At 45.2% G+C, this 16,701-nt stretch overlaps 1 long non-coding RNA gene across 1 annotated transcript, besides 1 other annotated feature; it reads right to left on the reverse strand.

Annotated features, from left to right (window-relative positions):
* Positions 1 to 3,142: 3,142 nt before the first annotated feature.
* LOC124904255 (uncharacterized) lies at positions 3,143 to 16,644 on the reverse strand. The gene is made up of 2 exons (XR_007066300.1): positions 15,484 to 16,644; positions 3,143 to 4,741 (listed from the first exon to the last, which is right to left on the reverse strand). It is a non-coding gene; the product is annotated as an uncharacterized LOC124904255 (long non-coding RNA).
* Positions 16,623 to 16,672: a silencer, noted in NCBI's record as "silent region_9331". NCBI's record gives its function as "represses an Ori minimal core promoter by ATAC-STARR-seq in GM12878 lymphoblastoid cells {active_cell/tissue: GM12878}" and the evidence as "EXISTENCE:reporter gene assay evidence [ECO:0000049][PMID:35858748]".

Here is a 16,701-nt window from a genome sequence, read left to right on the forward strand (position 1 = left end):
GAGTAATTCTTTTTTTTTTTTTTTTTTTACAGAATCTCACTCTATCGCCCAGGCTGGAGTGCAGTAGTGCAATCTTGGCTCACTGCAGCCTCTTCCTCCCAGGTTCAAGTGATTCTCCTGCCTCAGCCTCTGAAGTAGCTGGGACCACAGGCAAAAGCCACCATGCCTGGCTAATTTTTGTATTTTTAGTGGAGATGACACCTACTGCTTCTTTAAATTCATCTCATCAGGCATTGCATGAGGATGAATCACCTCCATACATCCTGCACGTCCACCCCACTGCCCAGCTACTTGTTGCATACTTCGGAGGTATCAGTATGCTATTATTGCTGTAACAAGCTACCACAAACTTGATGGCTTAAAACAACACACATTTATTGTCTTACATTTTGGAGGTCAAAAGTCCAAGATAAGTGAGCACGGCTGAGTTCCTTCCGGTTGTTATAGGGGAGAATCTACCTTCTTTCCTTTTCCAGCTGCTAAAAGCTTCCTGTATTCCTTGGCTCATAGCCCCTTCCTCCATTTTCAAAGCCAGCAATGCAGCATCTTCAAATTCCTCTCTGTCTTTCCCTCTCCCCATTTTGCCTCTCTTTCCAACATCACATCTCCTGTGACTCTGACCCTCTTGCTTCCCTCCTATAAGGACTCTTGTGATTACATTGTGCCCACCCAAATAATCCAGCATAACCCCCTCACCCCCAAATCCTTAATTTAATCGCACCTGCAGGGTCCCTTTCCCCATCTAAAATAGCATATTAGCAAGTTGCAGGGATTACCACATGGACATCTTTGGGGGCCATTACTCAGCCAACCACACCAAGCATGCACATATCCTATAACCCAGCAGTTCCACTTTGGGCTGTCTGCCTTAGAGAGACTGCCGTATTTACACAAGAAGATGTGCACAAGGATGTTTACTACAGCACTCTGTATAATGGTGAAATATTGGAAATAACTTCTTTTACAGCACAGTACGTGATTAAAAAAGCAATTCTGAAGCCAAACTTTTTTGATTCAAATTCCAGCTCAGCCATTTACCAGCTGTGTGACCTGAAGCAAGGTATTTAACTTCTCTGTAGCTGGTTTTCTCATCTCTAAAAGGGTTATCATAATAGATCATATATCACAGGCTCATTTTGTGGACTTTACTTAATGCAGATAAAGTGCTTAGATAGTACCTGGCATACTGCAAATGCTATATGAGTGTTTGATGTTGCTGTTATTACAGTAGGAGAATGTCTAAAAAGTGAGATTGGTTCATTTAATGCCACTCTCTTCAACAGCTAAAATAAGTCATCCCTCATATGAGATATATATATAGAGTTTATTTCATTTTATGAGATGGAGTTTTGCTCTTGTCACCCAGGCTGGAATGCAGAGGTGCAACCTCAGCTCACTGCAACCTCTGCCTCCCAGGTTCAAGTGATTCTCCTGTCTCAGCCTCCCGATTAGCTGGGATTACAGGAGCATACCACCACACCTAGCTAATTTTTGTATTTTTAGTAGAGACAGGGTTTCACCATGTTGGCTAGGCTGGTCTCAAACTCCTGACCTCAGGTGATCTGCTCACCTCAGCCTCCCAAAGTACTGGGATTACAGGCATGAGCCACTGCGCCCGGCCTCAAATATATTATATTGAGTGAATAAAGCAAGATGCGAAAGATACACACTGTATAATATCATTTAAGTAATTTTGAGGACACAAAGCAATCATGTAGATTGTTTATAGATGTAATAATATGTAATAAAAGCACAAAATGGGTATAATGCACACAAATTTCACAGTAATGTTGACCTGGGAGGAAAGGGAGAGAAAGAAGGACTTAAGCTACAGCTGTACTTTTCCTTATTAGTTCCCTCATTCCTTTTTTTTTAAACAAAAAGATGTGAAGCAAATAAAGTGAAATATCAGTTTCTGATTTATCTTGCTGAGGATATAGATGTCATAGTATTCTTTTACTTGCACGTTTGAACTGCTTCATAATTGAACATTAAAAATTCAAGAAGAAGCTTAAACTTGGAAGTTTTTTGTGTTGGTCTTTGCTGTCCAGCATACTGGTGGCTGCACTGTGCAGTGATCAGGGCTCTGTCACCTTTCAACTGATGCCAGGTGGGTGGAGCTCCTTTCCCCAAGGCCACTCATCAGTGCCCAAGGAGACTGCGCCTCCCTCCTGCCGGGCATGGGTGGTGACGCGCAATGCTCTGCCAGTGGTGAGGCTGGTGCTCTGCGGCAGCCTCCTGACCAGTCTGGCTGCTTCCACACCATCCCCCTCCTCCCAAAATGATGCTTTTAGAAAGGACGTTGAGTGTTCACACGCCCAGTGACTTCCCATCTCCTTTGGAATCCAGTCTCAAGTTCTCATCATCATCTTCAAACCCTGCAGGACCCGGGGCCCATCAGCCTCTCCTTGCTCATTTCCTACTTTCCTCTGGATCACTGCGTGCCTGGCACCAGCGAGCCTCCTCCCTGCTACTTGAGCAAGCCCAGCGTGCACCTGTCTCGTGGCCTTTGATGGCCAGAATTCTTGTCCCCATATCTTGGAAGTTCTCCTCCTCCCCATGCAAGTCTCTGCTTCCAATTCACCTCCTCCAAGATGCCTCCCTGACTTCCTACCTACAGTAGATGGCCCTGCACTCTCTGTCCCAGCGTCTACTTTCATTTCTTCCAGGGATACCAGCACTTTTAATATTACCTGTCTGCCTTACTGGGATGCAGGCTCCATGAGATCAGAGACTCTGCCTGTTTGGTTCACCATCAAATCCCCTGAAAGAGTACCTGGTACAAAGTTGCACTCGATACATATTTGCTGAAGAGCTGATTGAGAGCAGGGCAGAAGGCCCCACGGTCAGGTGCTTTGTCTTCCCACCTTAGTACTGCTTCATTTGGTGCCCTGATCTAGAGCCTCTGGGAAGCTGCATCTCTGGAAGATGACCCTTGGTCTCCAGAGAGAGAGAGAGAACGTGGTGGGGGGGAGGTCTCTTGGCTGCTCACGGGGAAGGGGCCCAGTGGCCACATCACTCTCTGAGTAGCTCCTGCCCCATCTCACATCTCCTCATTCCAGCTGCCTCTCAGGGGTTTGCAGGGAGGGTCAACTCACACCATGATCTAAATATTATCCACCTCCATGGTGCTTTTCTTTTCTTTTTCTTTTTTAGAGATGGAGTCGCACTCTGTCACCCAGGCTGGAGTGCAGTGGCACGACCTCGGCTCACTGCAACGTCCACCTCCCAGGCTCAAGCAATTCTCCTGCCTCAGCCTCCCGAGTAGCTGGGATTATAGGCACCTGCCACCTGCCACCATGCCCAGCTAATTTTTTTTTTTTTTTTGTATTTTTAGTAGAGATGGGGTTTTGCCATGTTGGCCAGGCTGGTTTCGAACTCCTGACCTCAAGCAGTCCTCCTGCCTTGGCCTCCCAAAGTGCTGGGATTACTGGCGTGAGCCACCATGCCCGGCCCGGGATGCTTTTCTAAGTCAACTGCGTGCTCTTTCCACTCTCCAAAAATCGTCTGGAATCTTATGTCTGCCGTTGGTCTCTTCTCCCTTCGACAAGTGGGTTTGTATCTTTTCAATTATTATTTTAGCAGTTTTTTTGAAGGGAGAGCAACAAACACACACAGCTCATCTAGTAGGCTTAACTGGGAGTTCTTGATCCACAAACTATCTTTTTAAAGAATATGTATTTTTAAGCTTGTGACAGGTTAAATGTGATAACTGAAGCAACAAATATGGCATTATAAATGATGAGTTCAACATCATAATAAAATAACTATTACTAACATTGACATTCGAGACGGCCAGGATGGCAGTCTGTTCAGTCCTGTATCTGCAATGCTTGGGCAAACCTCTTTGACATGGGACCACTCTTAATTTCTGGTTGTGTCTGCTAATAGGATACTGACTTAGTCTCCCATCAGTCCATTTTATGAGATGAGTTGATAAGAAATTAGTAGTTTTATTTTAATGAATATATTTTATTTTGAGACAAATTGAACAGAATGTGCAGAGGATTCTCATGTCCCCTCACCAAGTCCCTATGTCCTGCACTGTAAACCTCTTGCATTACTGTGATATGCTGATGTTGCAACTGATGAGCCAAGAGTGATACTTTATTGCCAACTAAGGACCAGGGGCGAGCCTGGGTGGTGGCAATCCCAGCACTTTTGAAGGTTGAGGCAGGAGGATGGCTTGAGGCCAGGAGTTTGAGACTATCCTGGGCAACATAGTGAGATCCTGCCTCTATAGTAATTTTTTAAAAATTGGCCAGATGTGGTCGTGTGCACCAATAGTTTCAGCTACTCGGGAGGCTGAGGCAGAGGATCACTTGAGCCCAGGAGTTGGAGGTTCAGTCTTGGTGTTGTACATTCTACGGGTTTGGATGATTGTATAATACTGTGTATCCACCATTATAGTATCAGACAGAGTAGTTTCACTGTCTGAAGAATCCTCTATGTTCTATCTATTCATCCCTCCCCAACATCCAACCCTTGGCAACCCCTGATCTTTTTATTGTCTCCGTAGTTTTGCCTTTTCCAGGGTGTCATAGAGTTGGACTCATACAGGGTGTAGCCTTTTCAGATTGTCTTCCTTAACTTAAATAATGTGCATTTAAATTTCCTCCATATCTTTTCATGGCTTGATAGCTCATTTCTTTTTAGTGCTGAATCATATTCCAATATTGGGATGCACCACAGTTTATTTATCCATTCACCTACTGAAGACATCTGGGTTGCTTCCAAGTTTCTGCAATTATGAAAAAAGCTGCTATAAGCATCCACATGCTCCGGGCAAACGCCATGGAGCATGAGTGCTGGGTCACATGGTAAGAGCAATTGTTCATGAGGGTTCACTTAGCTAATATTTTCTACACTTATGCTTCCCCTAGTGTTTGGATCGCTTCATCTCTACATTGCCAATGTCTTAAAAAATACATTTTGTCTTAAAATGAACAAAGGACATGAACACTGATTTTTTCAGCTTACTCTAGTGATATCTTTGTTTCTGCATATCATTTGAGATTGTTCCCTTGGGTTTAGCTGAGACTGACTCCTTTCTCGTAGGGTTACTGGGACCTCTTCAAGGCTTCATGTGCTCCACTGGACTGTGATGGGCACTTTATTTTTGATATGCAAAACATCACTTTGGCTAGTGGGGGTTCTTTGTTTTATTTAGCAAGATCTCACATATTTTGAAAAACATTCTCTGGCAACCACAAGATGTGCTGCGCCCATCTTGATTTTCGCCGTTTTCACCATGGAAGCAGCGACTTTCCAAGGATTTCTGGCCACTGTTTGTGGAGAGGAGCATTAGAGGCTGAAATCCAGGGCTCTCTCTCTGAAGGCCTTGGGCTTCCCTCTGAGTCCAGGCTACACACATGTAATGAGGGAAGCAGGGGCTGTCCATGCTCCGGTGACAGAATCGGAAACCCTTTTAAAGTGTGTGAACTCACACCGATGTTCTCATTCAACTCCAACTTTACTAAGCCGCTCTTTATTTTGTTCTAATACTAAAATATGTTTTAAAATTGTAAATTTTATCCATTTTGAACACAAAGATTTTTTTTTAAATAAAATTACCCCCTCCAAATAAATAAATTTAGAGATGCTTCGTGTCAGTTAAGTACCTTCGATCACCTTCTCAGAAGATGCCTTTTTCCAAGCCAACAGCCATTTCCAAGACCTTGAGACCTTCAAAGTCAATTTTTAAAGCTCAATTAATTACAATACATTTGCACAGATCACACAGCCTGAAGCCACAGCTCATTGGCAGAGGGTATTCTCTTCTGTGAAGCAGAGGGCTTAACTCACACATACTGAGTTACTCACAGTCAGCAGTGATAATATTCAATCAGAGCGGCCATTAAGATGAAATTTTCCTGTAATTGGCCTCTCTTTTGTGGTCTATGGGAAGGATTTAATCTCTGGGCCTGTGACGCTTTTCTTAGCCTCTCTCCTCCTCCGCCCTCCTAATTGAGGAGGACTCTCTCGGGGATTTTCTGCTGTAGGCAAGTCCCCAGTTGCTGGAAAACCCTGGCTTCATGGCATGCGGGGACTGATGTGTCGTCCATACCTGTGATGTTTTATATGTTTGTTTAATTTTTATGTAGGTCATGTGTCTACTCATGCCTGTGAACCAATGATTTACTCTGATTTTTAATGTCTTTATACATTGACTACAACAAATCCTCAGGAAACATCTTTCTAGAAGCTCCTGGAATTCCTGGGCAGCTGGACATCAATACCCCGGACACCTACAGGGCCTTTTTCTCCTTGCTTTTATATAATTTTCCAAATAGCATCATGCTACCCCTACTATCAAAGTGTAGTGGACATAGGACGGTTTTGAAATGGTTTGCATCAGAGAAGTCCTGCCCCCAGATTTAAAAAAAAAGACCTTTCTTTTATTAAAGGACACAGCTGTATTTCAGGGCCAGCCAGTTGCCAGAAGGCACACTGGCTTCAGCTTCTTAAAGCTTCCCTGTCCCTTGAGTAAAGCAGTCTACTGAACCCAGGAGACTGTGCAAGGTGAGGCCAAAGACACATGCAGAAGACCCAGACTTGGCCCTAATCCATTAGCCCACTTGTGTTTTTGCTTTGGTGTTGGGATCTCAGGGGAATGTGGGATTGACCCAGACCAGTGTTCTCCCAGGACCTTTCTGCCAGCCTTCTTGGGAAAGACACACTTTTTCATTGGGGCCACTAGACAGGATGGGAGACTGGAGCACCTGGGGCCACTGCTGCCCTATGGAGAGGCCCTAGCTGAGAATCAGACTCAACTGAGGCAGCAGAGCGGGAATGGAGAGAGAGACAGACAAAGCCACAAAAACCTTCATTCGAAACGGGCTTCAGACCTGCCTAAAGCCACATCCACCCCTTGAACTTCACAGATAAAGTGAGCCAAGATACTCCCTTTCCAGTGTCGATCTGAGTTGTGTCTCACCACTTGCATTTCAAAGAATCTTGTTGAAACAGAACTTCGGGGTTTTAGATATGAAGTTGTAGGCAATTTGCGATAGGTGGCTAAAATGAACTCTTGCAATATTAGTTTGTACTGCCCCATCTGCCCTGGCAGGGAGGTGACCAACCTGGTCTAACTAGAAAAAAACCACATGTGGCATTGTACTTACTGTTGGCCACCACCCTCCAGGGTCAACTGGAAGTGTCCAGAGGAATGACAGAGGACTCAAGAATACAGCACATGAAAAATGGTTGGAAGTACCACGGCTGTCTGCTTGGAGAAGGAAAGCGTGGGAGAGAGCTGCTTCAAATAGTGATCTTCTGCAGAGGACGCTGGCAGCTCTGCATGCACAGGACAGCTGAACCTGGGCTGCAGGAGGCCACCTGCTGAACCCAGGTCTCAGCTCAGTGCGGGAATAAACTCCTGTAACTCAGCATGGTCCCCATTTAGTGTGGGCTGCCTGGGCAAGCATGAGCTCCGGGAGAGTTGGAAATCTGCTTGGCAAGGAGGTACTAGAGACATTTCTGAGATGGCTTCACCTTGAGGGCACGTCCCTTGAGAGTCTAAAATGTATAAGAATGTCAAGCTATTGGCTTGTGCTTTAATTGAGATTAGCTGGCAGCTAACTCAGAATAAGTTGCCTGCTTCACAATTTTGGCCTGATTGAGGGTTGGCCTTGCTTCTAAATGTTTTTATCACACCTTCAGTGGCCAAGTGAATTGAAGGGAGGCTTCTGCCCAAAAAGCTGAGATAGTACGAGCCGTGTGATTCCTACCCTTTCCTCCAGGACTTGTTTCTCCAAATCCCACTTGGCTGTTTGGGCTTTCCTCTGTCTTTCGTGGGTGAAGACTTTGTGGTCCTGGAGACATGGGCCCTGATTTGAGATTTTACCTAGAAAAGGCAGGATGAAGCTGGTAGGGACTGAGGCAGTCTGGAACACCTACTGACTTCTAAATGGAACATTCTTTGCTGAAACTTCTTTTTTTCTGTGTTGGCTACCAGAAGTTCACATCCCATGTAAAATGTAAGCCCAGTGAAGCAGGGGCTTTGGTTCACAGCTGCATCCCAACACATTGCACAGGCCCGGTGCACAGTAAGACCTCCATAAGTATTTGCTGAATGAACGAGCAGAAGGTCTTAAAGGGCCTCTGAGATCACCTGGTCTATGTCTCTCCTTTTCTAGGATTTCCCCACCTCCAGAACTGTAAGAAGTACATTTCTGTTGTTTATAAATTACCTAGTCTAAGGGATTTTGTCATAGCAGCAGGAATGGACTGACAGAATCAGCACACACACATCAGCAGCACTGATAAGAAATGTAACATATCCACACATTTACTTACGTAGGCACTTCATACTTTTAAAAAACTTTTATTTTTGGTTTAGTGGTACGAGTACATGTTTGGTACATAGGTAAACTTGTGTCATAGGGGTTTCTTGTACAGTTTATTTCATGATGCAGATACTAAGCCCAGCATGCATTCGTTGTTTTTCCTGATCCTCTCCCTCCTCCCAGCCTCCACTCTCCGAAAGGCCCTCATGTGTGCTGTTCCCCACTGTGTCCATATGTTCTCATCATTTAGCTTCGACTTATAAGTGAGAACATTCAGTATTTGGTTTTCTGTTTCTGTGTTAGTTTGTTAAGAATGATAGCCTCCAGCTCCATCCACATCCTGCAAAGGACATGATCTCATTTTTTACAGCTGCACAGTATTCTGTGGTGTATATGTACCACATTTTCTTTGTCCAGCCTACTATTGATGGGTATTTAGGTTGACTCCATGTCTTTGCTATTATGAATGGTGCTGCAATGAACATACATATGTATGTGCCTTTATAATAGAATGATTTATACTCCTTTGTGTATATGTCCAGTAATGGGATTGCTGGGTTGAATGGTATTTCTGTCTTTAGGTCTTTGAGGAATCGCCACACTGTCTTCCACGATGGCTGAACTAACGTACACTCCTACCAACAGCACTTTACCCTTTTTACTTCAAGCATTTAATTTAATCATTGCCATCTAACGGACTGCCCAACAAATAATTCAAACTTTAAACGAAACATGAGGTTCTTAAGTCTTGCAGGCTGAACTGGACAGAGCAGAGAAATTCCTGAGGCAGAATCTGTGACCCAGGCCTAAAGTCTCACTATGCGTCCCCACCTTTCCAGGTGGAATGAGGTTAAAGAATGCCAAAGATCAGATGGTTGTAGATGTATGGTATTATTACCTAGGAATCCAACTTACCAAGGGATGTGAAGGACCTCTTCAAGGAGAACTACAAACCACTGCTCAATGAAATAAAAGAGGACACAAACAAATGGAAGAACATTCCATGCTCATGGATAGGAAGAATCAATACTGTGAAAATGGCCATAATGCCCAAGGTAATTTAGAGATTCAATGCCATCCCCATCAAGCTACCAATGACTTTCTTCACAGAATTGGAAAAAACTACTTTAAAGTTCATATGGAACCAAAAAAGAGCCCACATTGCCAAGACAATCCTAAGCCAAAAGAGCAAAGCTGGAAGCATCATGCTACCCGGCTTCAAATTATACTACAAGGCTATAGTAACCAAAACAGCATGGTAATGGTACCAAAACAGAGATATAGACCAATGGAACAGAATAGAGCCTTTGACAAACCTGACAAAAACAAGAAATGGGGAAAGGATTTCCTATTTAATAAATGGTGCTAGGAAAACTGGCTAGCCATATGTAGAAGGCTGAAACTGGATCCCTTCCTTACATCTTATACAAAAATTAATTCAAGATGGATTAAATACTTAAATGTTAGACCTAAAACCATAAAAACCCTAGAAGAAAACCTAGGCAATACCATTCAGGACATAGGCATGGGCAAGGACTTCATAACTAAAACACCAAAAGCAATGGCAACAAAAGGCAAAATTGACAAATGGGATCTAATTAACTAAAGAGCTTCAGCACAGCAAAAGAAACTACCATCAGAGTGAACAGGCAACCTACAGAATGGGAGAAAATTTTTACAATCTACCCATCTGACAAAGGGCTAATATGTAGAATCTACAAAGAACTTAAACAAATTTACAAGAAAGAAACAAACAACCCCATCAACAAGTGGGCAAAGGATATGAACAGACACTTCTCAAAAGAAGACACTTATGCAGCCAACAGACACATGAAAAAAATGCTCATCATCACTGGCCATCAGAGAAATGCAAATCAAAACCACAATGAGATACCATCTCACACCAGTTAGAATGGCGATCATTAAAAAGTCGGGAAACAACAGGTGCTGGAGAGGATGTGGAGAAATAGGAATGCTTTTACACTGTTGGTGGGAGTGTAAATGGTTGAACTACCATTGTGGAAGACAGTGTGGCAATTCCTCAAGGATCTAGAACTAGAAATACCATTTGACTCAGCAATCCCATTACTGGGCATATACCCAAAGGATTATAAATCATGCTGCTATAAAGACACATGCACATGTATATTTATAGCGGCACTATTCACAATAGCAAAGACTTGGAACAAACCCAAATGTCCATCAATGATAGACTGGATGAAGAAAATGTGGCACATATACACCATGGAATACTATGCAGCCATAAAAAATGATGAGTTCATGTCCTTTGTAGGGACATGAATGAAACTGGAAAGCATCATTCTGAGCAAACTATCGCAAGGACAGAAAACCAAACACTGCATGTTCTCACTCATAGGTGGGAACTGAACAATGAGAACACTTGGACACAGGGTGGGGAACATCACACACCGGGGCCTGTCGTGGGGGAGGAGGAGTGGGGAGGGATAGCATAAGGAGATATACCTAATGTAAATAATGAGTTAACTGGTGCAGCACACCAACGTGGCACATGTATACATATGTAACAAACCTGCGTTTTGTGCACATGTACCCTAGAACTTAAAGTATAATTAAAAAAAAAAAAAAAGAATGCCAAAGGCAGCTTCCAAAGGCGTGTCAAGGAATGGAGTGGAAATGAGCTGTTTAAAGCCTCAGTGCAGCGTGAGTGTCTGCAGGCAATGAGCTTCAGGCACTCCTCAGCGGCACTTCATTCAGCCCAGGGGAGTGAGCTGAGCCCTTTCCTGTGGAGGGAGGAGGCCTGCGAGGTGTCTGGGGAGTCTAATCCAGTGGGCAGACTGCCTCTCTGCTTTTCCCCGCCTGAGAGAGCTGGCTCTGCTGCTGAGTGACCCCGCCTTACAAAGTCCTCCCACATCCAAGAGTTCCCTTTTTGCAAAACCTTAAAAATGTGGTGTTATAATATAAATGTGTATGACGTTTACACACAGCTAATGAATTCACTAGCATAAAGCTAATGAATTTTTACATATGCATATACCCCTGCAACCACACTAGATGAAGACAGATCATTTCCCTCTCCCCCAAGGGCTCTCTTGCCCCTTCCCACCCACTACCATCCTGAGTGACCATGGATCTAACTTCTATCATCATCGGTTAGCTTCTCCTGTTTTGGAACATCACACAAATAAAACCATATGTTACTATTCTTTTGAGCCTGAATTCTGTCATTCAAATAAGTTTTTGTGGCATTTATCCATGTTGTGTGTGCCAGCAGTTTCATGGGTTTAAAAAAATTTTATTTTATTTTAATTTCCGGGGTCCATGTGCAGGACGTGCAGGTTTGTTACATAGGTAAATGTGTGCCATGATGGTTTGCTCCACCCATCAACCCATCACCTAGGTATTAAGCCCGGCATGCATTAGCTATTTAACCTGATGCTCTTCCCACCACCGCCACCCGCTCTCCCCTGACAGGCCCCAGTGTGTGTGTTGTTCCCCTCCCTGTGTCCATGTGTTCTCATTGTTCAGCTCCCACGTATAAGTGAGAACATGAGGTGTTTGGTTTTCTGTTCCCGTGTTAGTTTGCTGAGGATAGTGGCAAATTTACAAGAAAAAAATAAATAATCCAATTAAAAAGTGGGCAAAGGACACGAGCAGACACTTCTCAAAAGAAAACACATGTGGCCAACAAACATATTTTAAAAAGCTCAATATCACTGCTCATTAGTTTCACGGTTTTTAAACTACTCTGTAATCTTCCATTACACGGGTGTACCAAAATTTATTTATCTTTTTTCCCTGATGGACATTCGGGTTATTTCCAGTTTTTTTCTCTTGCGTTTGAGCAAGCCAGCATGAAGCTCCTCGTGGGTGCCATTTGTTGGACATCTGCCCTCAGTCCTCTTGTGCCCTCGCAGGAGGAGAATTGCTGGGATGCAGGTTCTACTGACTCCTTACCCTGGTGAATGTTTACAATTGTCACTGTTTCCAACCTCAGCCATTCTAGTGGGTGTGCTATTTCGTGAGTTCAGTGCAAACCGAGCGAGTACCTCTTCCCATGCTTGTTGGCTACTTAAGTATCTTCTTCCGTAAGGGACCTTTTCAAGGAATTCGCCCTTTTCTTATGGAGCACGTTCCGGTAAGGAAAGCCACATTGCTATGTTCTCTACAAACGACCCCTCACCAGCGGGACAGGGAGATGCAGAGGCACACAATCCTGCCTCCGTCAGTGTTTGATGAAAAAGCAGAGCCTCTGAAAGCAGCCTGGGACCAGGGATTTATGATGGGCCGCTGTGGCTGGTGAGAAGCCGTGGGAGGCCATGGCTCTGGGACTGGCAGGCCCGCAGGCAGAGTGAGGACAAACCACACTCACGGGGACACCTGGAGCCCTTGAGGACAGGGCAGCCTGGGCCGTCTCACACTCCTTCAACCTCAGGGATACTGGTGACCTGAGGACGAGGAGGGTGCCCTTCTCCACAGGTGCCCTTCTCACATTCCTCACCCGGGACTGGGGATGCTTCGGGGGGAGGCCCAGTGGGGACAAGGGGACCTCAGGTAAAGGAGGTGTGAGGGCTTCACAGCACCTGGAACCCCACAAGACGCTGCAAACGGCGACTTGCCTTCCTCCTTCCAAATCTCACACAACTTTCTCTGCGGCCAACTGGACCTGGAACCTTGCAGGGAAGGAATTCTGGGAAGCATGGGACCCGCACGGCTCAGCTGACACAGTATAAACTCACCAGAGCTTGTCCTTGCTTGTAAGGCAGTGAAAAGGACTGAAGGAAGCTAATATTTATTGAAAAGTAAATAAACATTTATTTATTTACCTTTTGGGCCGGGTACCTTGCTCAACACTTAACTTGCTGGCAATTTATACCCCAGTAGACAGCTGACTGAACCATGTGTCAGAGAGAAATGGAGAATTCAGAAGGGAGGCCTCAGAGGCCACCTCAAACCAGCAGCCATCACTGCAGCCTCAGAGACCCAGAGCTCAGGGAAGACTCAGCTACCCTGGGATGCTCTGTGGGGTGCAGGGGACTTGGGGGCCACCTTGGCAACAGGACAGATAGAGCTGTGGCTGTACAGACTGAGATGCGGGAGGTGTGCGCAGGGCTGGGGAAACTTTAGGTACTGTAATATTTGTAAGAGATCTGACAGTACATGTATCACAGCTCAGGAAACGCTTCATCATTTTTCAGCGATGTAATGTGTAGATACCACACACAAATATGTCTGGATGGATTGTCTTTGAGGTCACACATTTCTTTCTTTCTTGCTGTGTTTTCCCTTTGTCTTCACTCCCTGGCCCCTAAGGAGAGAGCAGGTGCTGTGGCTTTTGCCCAAGGAGAGAGCTCTGCAGCCAGGCTGAGAGCAGAAGTTGCCTGCAGAACACTTCTCTTTCCATCCTGTGTGATTTTCAACCTGATCCCAAAGGAAGTGAATGAGGTTGGTGGGTCCTGGAGCAGCGGGGTCCACAGGATCCCAGGGAGGGGATGGGTATGCAGATGGGGACTTGGCCAGTGTCACAGAAGACCCCATGAAGTAGTAACTATTACTTCCAGTGTACAGATAGACGCTGAGGTGTGGCGATGCTGCGTGTTGGGGCGAAACGCGCAGGAGAAGTCGTCCAGGCTCAGGGACAGAGCCCTTGCTCCGGGGCTGCTCATCGTAGATTCTGGTCCTGAGAATCTAGAGCGGGGCTCCCACTTCTCCAGGACCAGAATTACCCACATGAAGCTTCTCTTTCTCATTTCCTTCTATTTCTCATTTAAATTAAAGAGTACAAGGCATAGGATGAATCATATTGGATAAATTTCATTTAAATGTTATGCATGAGATCCAAGAAACAAAATTGTGTTCTCAAATTCACATTCAACTTGAGGTCACTTGGCCCTCAAATTCCCTTTTTCTCAACATTCGTTCATGTTTCCCTTTTCTATTTATGTCTCCTTAGATGACTGACTAGCAAACTTCTATGGACTAAGTATGGCCAGGGTATAATTGACATGAGACAGGCTGCAAGGATTGACAGTGAAAAATAATCTTTTTCACCTCTCACTCTTTGAAACCAATTTCAGTTGATTTCCACCCAATTTTAGTAATATTTATCTCAATATTGTTTACTCATCTATCCCAATACTAAGGTACCATTCATTCCAAAAAACCCTTTGAGCCCCTTGTGTCAGGCACTATTCTGTGTACTGGGGTCCAAGTTCTCCACCAACGGAGCAAAACAAAGTCTCCGCTCTGCTGCGCTTCAGTCTGGGCCCTTGGAATGAGCGAATGGTCAGGATGAAGCCGATGTAGAATCATGTTGCATTTTACAGAGAGCAAACTTACATCTAAGTACCTCGAACTCTTAGCATTGCTATAGGGAGAGTGTGTGTGTCTGGAAGGGTGTGGGAGGGAATAGCTGAAGTGGAAAACAAATACAGGGAGGACTGAGTAGGAAACACAGGGACAGGCCGGGCACGGTGGCTCACGCCTGTAATCCCAGCACTTTGGGAGGCCAAGGCGGGCGGATCACGAGGTCAGGAGATCGAGACCATCCTGGCTGACACGGTGAAACCCCGTCTCTATTAAAAATACAAAAAATTAGTTGGGCGTGGTGGCGGGCACCTGTAGTCCCAGCTACTCGGGAGGCTGAGGCAGGAGAATGGCATGAACCTGGGAGGCGGGGTTTGCAGTGAGCCGAGATCACGCCATTGCACTCCAGCTTGGGCGACAGAGCGAGACTCCGCCTCAAAAAACAAAACAAAACAAAACAAAAAAAAGAAAACACAGGGACAGGTTCCTCCCATATTTTCTAGAGATAGAAATACAGAGCCGCAGCAGTTTCTAGTTATAAATAAGATAAGAAAGGGCAACACGAGATTGAGATTCATCACAAATGGTAGAAATTGAGATTATGATTTTAAAATTCAGCCCTCAATTTAAGGCGGTTAAGTTAGACACAGAGAAATTATGTGCAAGTGAAATAGAAGGCATTGCTTTGTGGTTTTGGAAAAACTTTTCTTCTTCATTGTCCATGGGGCGTTTAGATGGAAAAAGTCATTTCTTTTTCTACCTAAAGAGGGCAAGAGCACAGTTTCTCCAACCCCAAAGCATGTGAGTTTTGCATTTGTGGACATTAAATATAAACTAAGTATATGCTTGTCAGATTAGGATAACCTGTGTGAAGCACTTATCAGCTTATTGCTCATTTAAAAAAGTTTACCCAGGCAGCCAGGTTCAAAGTTCCCCTGCTACAAGCTTCTCAGTTAGACCAGGACCTGGGCATTCCCAGCTGGAGCGGGCTCATTGCCGGGCACAGGGCAGATGCTGGCTGGTTTGCGGGCTGAGCTGAAGAACTGTCAGCGCTGCTGTAGGTAGGTGGCAGTATGGCATGCTGGTTCAGCTCCCAGCTTTCTATGCAGCTAGTTAGGGATGTAAAACCATCTCTTTGTGGTCTGAGGACAAATTACTAAATCCTTCTAGCCTCAACTTCGTCATGTGTAAAATGGAGAAGTAATAGCTCCCAGTTATTGTGAGGACTCAATCAGACAATCCATGTAAAGCGCTTAGCACAGAAGCGCTCCATGAATGGTAGTTATTATTACATCACATATGAGCACTGATCAAAGGCTAGCGGCAATTACCACCATAGCTGAGAGCTGAGGGCTTAAGGGAAACTGAATTCAGCCAACATTTCACTAACTAAAAAGTCACTGACAAATTAGACAAAACGTAGGTTTCAAAAGATTCATTTCTCTGACATTACGGAAATATGAACTGGACAACTTTTTGGGGGGTGTGTGGGGACAGTTGAAAATGTTCACTCCTTTAATCAGCTGCATCTATCTTAAACCCAGCCTGAAACCCCTGCTTAGTGTAGTATTTTGATATGTCTGCAGGGGGGTTAATTTTGGCAGAGGCGAACTAATTTTGGTGACTGCAATAAAATTGGGTTAAAATGCTCATATGCTCTGGCAGTAACCAATCCCCCATCAAACATGGTAGGGGTGGCTGGAGGCAATGCGTGTACTTCTGAACAAAGTCTGCACTCAGGTGGAGGTCAAGTCCGAAATGGTCTTCACAGGAGGTGTAGGTCCTTCAAGGAGAAAGGGTCACAGCGCGAAGAATCCATCTGACCTTCTAGGCAGGAGCCATTTCCTTTAAAGAGGGCAGGATACTAAGGGGGCGACCAGGTGGGGTCCGGGGGCGCCTCAAGCTCCTCAAGGCTCGCCGAGCACTGCTCCGTCCTACTAAGTGTCCTGCCGCCCGACTGCACGTCTCTAGGCGGCTGCCCGAGGTCCCGCGGCCCGTGGTGCACACGCAGCCCGCGAGGTACTCTGTGCTGGAACGCGCCCCCAGCCTCCCGAAACCGCCCCCGGCCTGCGGGCAGCGAGCCGGCTCCTCCGGGCGCCCCTGCAGCGTACTCTGCGCTCGGCTTGGA

The sequence above is a fragment of the Homo sapiens genome, chromosome 18, assembly GCF_000001405.40.
Source record: "Homo sapiens chromosome 18, GRCh38.p14 Primary Assembly".
Lineage (NCBI taxonomy): Eukaryota > Metazoa > Chordata > Mammalia > Primates > Hominidae > Homo > Homo sapiens.